This window comes from Homo sapiens, chromosome 2, assembly GCF_000001405.40.
Source record: "Homo sapiens chromosome 2, GRCh38.p14 Primary Assembly".
NCBI lineage: Eukaryota > Metazoa > Chordata > Mammalia > Primates > Hominidae > Homo > Homo sapiens.
In genome coordinates, this window is record NC_000002.12 from 117,753,094 (window position 1) to 117,761,705 (window position 8,612).

The 8,612-nt window shown below is 40.7% G+C and overlaps 1 long non-coding RNA gene across 1 annotated transcript; it reads right to left on the reverse strand.

The window, feature by feature from the left end:
* Positions 1–999: 999 nt before the first annotated feature.
* LOC124907878 (uncharacterized) lies at positions 1,000–7,500 on the reverse strand. Its single transcript, XR_007087210.1, has 2 exons — positions 7,280–7,500; positions 1,000–4,681 (listed from the first exon to the last, which is right to left on the reverse strand). It is a non-coding gene; the product is annotated as an uncharacterized LOC124907878 (long non-coding RNA).
* Between the last annotated feature and the right edge of the window lie 1,112 nt (positions 7,501–8,612).

Genomic DNA, 8,612 nt, shown 5'->3' on the forward strand with positions numbered 1-8,612 from the left:
AGCTTATATCCCCTGGAGTTTGTTTTACACATAGATAAGCGTTGTGAAAGGTTAAGTAGTCTGTCTAAAGTTACTTCCTGCTAATAATAATAATGACCACTACTTATTGAGCCCTTAGTAAGCTGAACACTTTCATGTATTAACTCATTTAATTCTCACAACAATTATACAAGGTAAGAAATATTATTAGCATCTCCATCTTAAAGATGAGGATGCTAATGCACAGAGAAGCATTTGCCCACCTCAAGAAGCCAGGAAGTGGGGGAGCTGGAGTGACCTGTCTGCAGACTCCACACTCTCCAGCACCACAGCAAACTGCCTCCCAAGCCACAGAGGTAGAATCACACAGCATCTCCCAGCTATGAGCACCCTGGTCAGGCAGGAGACAGGGGAGGATGTGATCACTGATGGTTATCATGAAATACTTCTCAGGGAAAATTAAGTAAATAAAATGAGCTTCATTAAGGACTTAAGGCCCCACAGGTATATCCTGGAATAACTAAAACTAAGGAGTATGAAGTGTTTTATACAAGAAATTAACAGGAAAGTAAGAGGTGGATAAGCAAAGGAAGAGAGAGCCCAACAAATCAGCAAGAAGCTGAGACTGGGATAAAAATACCACTATTAACAATTCTCTAGCAGTGGAAATGGCTAAGGGGCTTTAAAGAACAAGGACATCTAATTATTCATCTAGATATCACTAGTAATGTTTGCCTAATATTTCTACAATTTCCACTTCTGAGCACATGGTTGACTTGTACTTCCTGAACCCCCATAATTGAGTTGGGTTATATGATGAGTTCTCCCTAAAAAGCTGAAAGAAGTGACATGACTCGTGTCACTTCCATCAAATACATTTAATTGTCTCCAGAGCTCTCTTCCCCTCTGCCATGGTGATACAAAGCATTTGAGATGGTGGCTACTTAAGCCTGGTTCCCTGAGTGTCTGTGTGGAGCAGAGCCCCCTGCTGACCTGTGGTGATGCACGGCATAAACTATATTTGTTGTTGATGTTTTTCTAATTTTATTATGGAAGTTTTCAAACATTCAGAAATTAACAGAATTTTACAGTGAATTTTTCTGTACCCACCATCTAGATCCTACAATTAACATTTTCCTATATTTGTTTTATCACACATCTGTACATTCCTCTATCCACCCATCAATTAATTTTACCTATTGGATACATTTCAATAAGTTGCAGACATTAGTACATCTCAGCCTAACCACTTCAGTATGCATATCACTTAGTAGAGCCCAATATTTGTTTGCAGGTGATTTTTTTGACAAAATATACATATAGTGAAATGCACAAATTTTATTTGCCCATTTGATGAGTTACATTTGTTGGTTTTAGCCATGGAGATTTGGGGCTGTTTGTTACTACAACATAACCAAGCCTACCCTGACTGATTCATTCAACTTCGTGTTGGGCTGCCCTGTGATGTCATCCGCAAGTTGCCCTTAAATCTACTATTCAATCTAACACACACATGCTGGAGTTGGTGGGCTGTGGTAAGAGGATGGTCAGGGAGGTTTCCAATATAGTGATGTGGTAACAAAATGAGACAGTAAACAGAGGAGTCAAAATGTAGAGTAGAGATTAAGAACGCTAAATAAGGTGACCTTGGAGGCAAAGGCAATTTGGATAAATGCAAGCACAATCCCCTCACTTTTACCAAAACTACCAGAAAATATTAAAAAGAGACAACATAGTCATCCCCCTGTATGCTGGAATGAGGGTTTGAGTCTATTGACTTGCCTTTATTGACAGAGTTCATTATTCCTTCCTCCTTCTAAACCTTCTTCATTTGGCCTCCAGAACCACCCTCTCTCCTGATTCCCCTTCTGCCTTCCTGGTTGGTCACCCTCATTCTTGAGTTTATCTTCATCCCTCCCACCTCTAATAGTTGGAGTGCCCTAGAGTTCAGTCTCTGGGTCTCTTCTCTTGTCTATCCATACTAATCTCCTTGCAGATTACATTGAGTTTCATGCCTTTAAACACAATCAATATGATTTTTTTAATTTCTGAATGTATATCTCCAGCATGGATTTCTCCCCTAAATTGCAGCTTTAAGATCTGACAGTCCACTCAACATCTCTATTTATAAGTCTAATACACACCTCAAACTTAACTTGATCATATCAGAACTTCTGATCTTCTCCCCCTAAAATTATTCCTCCTAAAGTCACCCTCATCTCAGTTCAGGACAACTTTATCCTTCCCATTGTTCAGACTAGGTCATCTTTGACTCTCTCTCTCTCTCATTCTCTCTCTCTCTTTCAATATCTATATATCTATCTCTCTTTCCCCTTATTATGTCAAGAAAATTTTTATCATTACCTTTAAAATGTATCCAGAATCTGTGATGTCTTGCCACTTTTTTCACTACTACACTGGTCTAAGCTATTGCCATCTTTTCCCTGGATCGTGTCAAAAGAGTTTCAACAGGTTTCCCTGGTTCTACCTTCAACCTCTCACAGTCTTTTCTTAACATATCAGCCAGGGTGATCCAGTTACACATAACTCAGAATAAAATCACTCTTCTGCTCACACGACAGAGTAAATGCTAAAAACCTTCACCATGTTATAAAACCCTACCTGATCTGGCCTACTGTTACCTACTCACCTCATCTTCTTTTCTCCCTATGATTCACTGCTCTCCAATCACATTGGACCCTTGTCTATCCTTGAATATACCAAGCACCCTCTTGTCTGGCTTAAGCCAAAGGAGAGTCCTATTAACCTAGCAGGAAGAGGTAGTCAGTCCCAGGCTAGCTCAGATCAATGATTTCAACAAGGATAGGGCTGATTTTCTCCTCCTAGTCTGCAACTTCGGTGCCATGGCAACAATCTCCTCTTAGGATCACAAAAGAGCTATCACAGCTCTAAGCCTGATATCCTCCCATGACTGTTCAAAGAAGAAAGGAAGGTATTAGCAAAAGGACTCTGTTCTCAAGTGCCTGCGTGTTGTCAGCAAGGCAAAACTTTTCCAAAGAGCACCAGCAAAGCTCCCATTACATATCACAAGCCAGAACATACTCCCTGGCAAAGGAGAGTGTGATTGTCTTGATGGTCACCATTCCTCCCCTGGGGCTAGCCACACTTATGGCAGCAATGAAATAGACATCTGACAGCAAGGAGGAATGGGACAACCAGCACCCTACTAGACACCATTGACAGGCCACTAGATTGAGTAAGAGGAGCCCCAAACTCCATACCTGCTCTGCCCTTGTGATGTTTATATGTAATACCCCTGCACTAAAACAGTTCCTTCATCTGCAAAATGAGGAGGTTGGGCTAGACATTGCCTTCCAGCTTGAATGTTCTCTTATTCTGTGACTTCCATGTGGTGTTGTAAAGGTCTGAGTCTTCCTATGTGCCATTCCTCATGTATGTAAACATCTCCTAAAATGATGGGAACTCTAGGATGTCTTTGATCATCTATTTTAAAAAGAGAAGAGAAATTTTAACAAGAACATTTTGTACTGCTCATTCCCCACTGGTTCTTAAGAGTAAAGAACCTTTTTCTACCATTACTGACATTTAAAGACAGCTATTCAGATTCAGTAATTAGAACTCAAAATCATTCAGCATAAAGCTATAGCTTCCCAACAGTTGTTCCACTGTGGAAGTGTGAATGACTAACTCTTATCTGTGTTGCTAACAGTAATTCCTAATCATTATATTATTACTCAGTTTTAAAGCAAGAGAATGAAAACAATGCTGCCTTTGGCATCAGGACTTCTGTCATTACTGGAACACAAAATTGATATCATGTGTTCATATTAGTAAGCTTAGGCCCTGTTCTTCAGAGGTCGTTGCTGTGAGAAGCTGAAAAACAAATTGTGAGCTCCAAAATATCTGTCGAATGCAAAAGGAACATTGTTCTACCTGTGGAAGATAAGTACAAAAATATATGAAGAGGCCCAAACCATGTGTTTTTTCTCTTGGCATGTCCACTAACTGGCACAGTGCTTACCACATGTCAGTGCTCAAAATTTATGTATTGCATGAATAATGGAAGAATGAATTAATGCTTTATTAGAAAGGCCCACATAGATGTATCTTGGAATCTGCACAGACCAACCATCCTGCTTCCTCCCTCCCTCTGCCTGTGGCAATGACTCACTTTGACTATGATGGTCCATCCACCCATCTTCTTTGATTCTCATGTTCTGCAACAGTAATTGCAAAACTGCTCAAAGGTAGTAAAACACAATTCAGTCCTCTGCCTTTGCACACAAATATTCTTTCTCCTCACCTCCAAGCAGAAATGGAATAGGCATTGGATCAGGAAAGCATCCTCCCAGCACCTTAGTTTGCACAGGCTGTGTCAGCCCTACCCCAAGCCAGTGTCTGTTAGAGCCTGTGGTTCCACGTGTAATTGGGCATATGTGATACACACACTGTAAGCATTTGCCTAGAAGCATAACATTAAGCATGCTGCTGCCTTGTAATACTTCTCAAAAACACAATTTAGCGGAAAAAAATTATTTTCAAAGGTGCATGAAATCTATCCTTTTCATCCTCCCATTTAGATACTCTAAAGTTCACTCCTGAATTAAGCTAGACCTACAGAAATTCGTGAAGTAAAACAGTCTTTTGACCTTTTCTCTCTTCTTCACTCTTCCTGTTGAAAGATTTTCACTGGCATGGGCTATGATGTGATGTTATCAGCCTGCATTGGGAAACACAAAAGAAACACCAATGTAACCCCAGGTGTCTGCAATGAGAAGGTTGAAGGTGCTGTTACTTTACACAGTGGGCTCATTCATGAGAGTCCCGAAAAGAATGTTGTTCCTGCCACAGTATCAAAATGAATTGTGCATCTCCTTAAAATGGGCTTGTTTTTAATCTCATGAACCCTAAATAGTACAACCAAACAAATGTCTCTTTTCATTTAGTTTCTAGAATACTTACAGAACAATTTGAGGCCCACCTGTTAAAAAGAATGACAGGCTGTATGCATGGTCTGCATTGCTGTTTTGGCTTCATTCCTGGCTATTAAAAAAATAGCTCCACCAGGCCAGGCACAGTGGCACATGCCTGTAATCCCAGCACTTTGGAAGGCCAAGGCAGGGTAGATCACCTGAGGTCAAGAGTTGGAGACCAGCTTGGCCAATATGGTGAAACCCCATCTCTACTAAAAAAAAAATAAGAATACAAAAAGTAGCCGGGCATGGTGGCAGGCACCTGTAATCCCAGCTACTCAGGAGTCTGAGGCAGAAGAATCTCTTGAACCCAGGAGGCAGAAGTTGCAGTGAGCCGAGATTGCGCCACTGCACTCCAGCCTGGGTGACAGAGCGAGACTCTGTCTCAAAAAAAAAAAAAAAAAAAAAAGAGAAAGAAAGAAAGAAAAAAAAGGCTGGGTGTGGTGGCTCACGCTTGTAATCCCAGCACTTTGGGAGGCCAAGGCAGGTGGATCACCTGAGGTCAGGAGTTCAAGACCAGCCTGGCCAAAATGGTGAAACCCTGTCTCTACTAAAAATACAAAAATTAGCTGGGCATGGTGGGAGGCACCTGTAATCCCAGCTACTTGGGAGGCTGAGGCAGGAGAATCGCTTGAACCCAGGAGACAGAGGTTGAAGTGGGCCAAGATCATGCCATTGCACTCGAGCCTGGGTGACAAGAGTGAAACTCCATCTCAAAAAAAAAAAAAAAAAAAACTCCACCAGTAATTTTTCTTCTTGTTTCCCACCTACTTCTATTTATGTTGATTTGAAAAACTGAATGCATCCTTAGAAGTGCTTTAAAGCTTTTCTGAACAAGGGAGGGCACAAACTTTTTTAGGCAAATTAATATGAAAGTCAATCTTACCAAACTTTCAAAGGCATTTTTTGGTTCTCCTCTCCAAAACCTTAGTGAGTAATGCCAATAATATGTTCTGAGAATTTTCCCCCCAAATAGCAAGTAACAAATACTTCATCCCACAGTGGCTCAAAGATCTATGGGCGAGGCTTGTTGAACAACCATGCAGGACAGCTACTGGCAGGAAGAAACGTGGTGCCTGCTTATTGGCCTAGAACTGGAAGGATGCGCACCAAAGGCAAATATTGTGTATTTAACACTTTTACCAAAGACAAGCCCCAGCACAGTAATGAGTGTGAAAGGTGTGAAAAACTTCAAAAGTTTGACCACAGAAATGTTGGTGGCACAGAATGTCTTACCAGGCCCAGGCTAACTGCATGGGACACCCTTTACAATCCTGCAATTTGGAACAACTCTTTAGTCAACAACCTTGAGCCACCAGCTAGCTTGATTGGATCATGCACTTATCACCAGTACGGATTGGGAAGCCTTGAGTTTACCCAGAATGAAGAAAGCTTAAGGTTGAAAATGGAAGCTAAGAGTTGATTTCACATCAGCTGCTATAAAGACAAGCACAGCCTGTAAATTTTTTAAAGGCTAAAACTTTAAATTCTCTAGGCTGAATATTGGAGGGAGGGAGAGGATATGCAACAGATGTAATTCAATTCTTGTGTTATGTGTTACTAAAATGACATTGCCTGGTATTAAAAAGTTCTTATAAAATAAAAACTAAAAAAATCCTCACAAACAGCATTGGAAATAAAATCCAAGTCTTGAAAAATTCAAATTGCACCTTCCATCCCAACCTCATTCCAAATCAAAATATGTATCTCTTTTATTCATAAACTGATACATATACCTATGAATAAAAGCCCAAAGCTGGGCATATTGAAATGAGTTATCTAGCCTCCGAAAGCAAATAAGATCATTTCCTTTCACATCTCTTCCCTCTCAGCAATTATCTGGCTGAATTTTAACCTGACTCTGATCAGGAAGGGAACATCTATTTGCCCTGGCTGAATACTGCAGCAATCCATATGCATGTTTTCTTGCTGTCTAAAATCCTATCTCTGAATACGATTTCTTATTAATTTCCTCAAGCAGATTTCCACTATTAGATGTGCTGGCTGTGCATCACAAATGAGCTACGTTTTAGCGGTTGCTGGTCATTACGTAAGTAAAGAGGGGAACATCTCCTTCTGTGTGACTCAATGATTTAATAATTATTAATGAGACATTATGCCTTTGTACATTTCTGACAGATTATTAAGTGCACTATAAATGTTTAACATCACTCTCTGAGGTCCGAAAATGTGATGCCAAATGTGTCCTCCAGCTTCACACAATCAGAAAAGACAAATTAGATTACAGCAATATGGCAGCTTTATTGATTTTTTATAATATTTACAAACTGCAGGTAAAATGTAATATGAGAAAAAGCATGTGTGATGATGGCAGGTCCATTTACCTGAAAGTTTTTCCTCTATCATCATTTGGAAGCAGTTCATCTTGTAGGCAGTGGTGTTGGAACAACTCTTTAGTCCACTTCTTGGGCTGTGTTTCCTTCCAGCAAGCTCCAGAGGGCAGGAGGAGCCTCGTTCACAGCCTCAGACTTATGCTCCATTTTTTTTTTAATCCTTGGACACAGGAACTTTGGCCCAGAGGCTTGTTTGCATGTCAGAATCACCTAGAAAAAAAATATAAAATACAGTCTCTCAGGCTGCCCTCTAGCCCAACCAAACCAGAATCTCTCGAGGTGGTCACAAGGCACTGGTATTTTGTCTTTAACTCCAAAATACTTCTAAAATACAACCAGGGTTGAGAACCTCTGATTTATACCATCTGCTGTGTGGGATTTAAAACATGGCCCCAAAATTCTTTGGCATGTCTGTCATTAGGAGGTAGGGTCGAGGGTCCCTCCCCTAGAATCAGGGCTCCTTGATGACTTGACCAATAGATAAAGGCAAAAGAAATGCTGTGCCAGTGTCCAGGCCCAGACCTCAACAACTGGCAGCTTTCACTTCCTTGCTGTTGAGACCTTACTCTTGGAAACTAGCTGCCATGCTGTGAGCGAGCCCAACAGCCTGTGGGGAGGCCCATATGGAGAGAAACTGAGGCCCTGCCACACAGTCTGGCTCAGCTCCCAGACTTGCCACCCATGAGAATGAGCCACCTTGGAAGTAGATCCTCCAGCCCCCAATAAAGCTGACTCAGCCAGCATCTCATAGAGCACAGACATGCTGTCTCTGCTAAGCTCCAGCCAGACTCAAGATTCATGAGCAAAATAAATAATCATTGTTATTTTAAGCCATTAAATTATGTGATGGTTTGTTAGGCAATAAATAACTGGAACATCTGCTTACCCAAATGGTGTCATGGAAAAGGATTTACTCTTTAAAAGCTGCATTATAAACATTTATGGGCTCGTTGCCTCACAAAATATAACCTTCCACCTTCCTTTTGGCCAAAATAATGAAATTCCTCTCCTTTCTTAACACATAATAGCTTCTCCATGAAGCCTTCCCTGTCTGTGTCAATTCTCTGCAATTTTTGTAATTGTATCAGGCCTTGTTTACAAAATTAATTATCCCCTTGGTCTCATAAAATTATAAACTCCAAATATCAAATACCAATTTTCATTTGGAAGATAGTCTGATGATAAGGTAATCACAGCTTTTGAAGAGCCAAATTCTGAAAGTGTATATAAAGGCTTGGATGGAATTGATAAAAATCAAATGGAATAAGTAAGGAATGCAATGATGGGTAGAGAAATTACAGTGTGAGAGTCAGGGAAGCAGGGT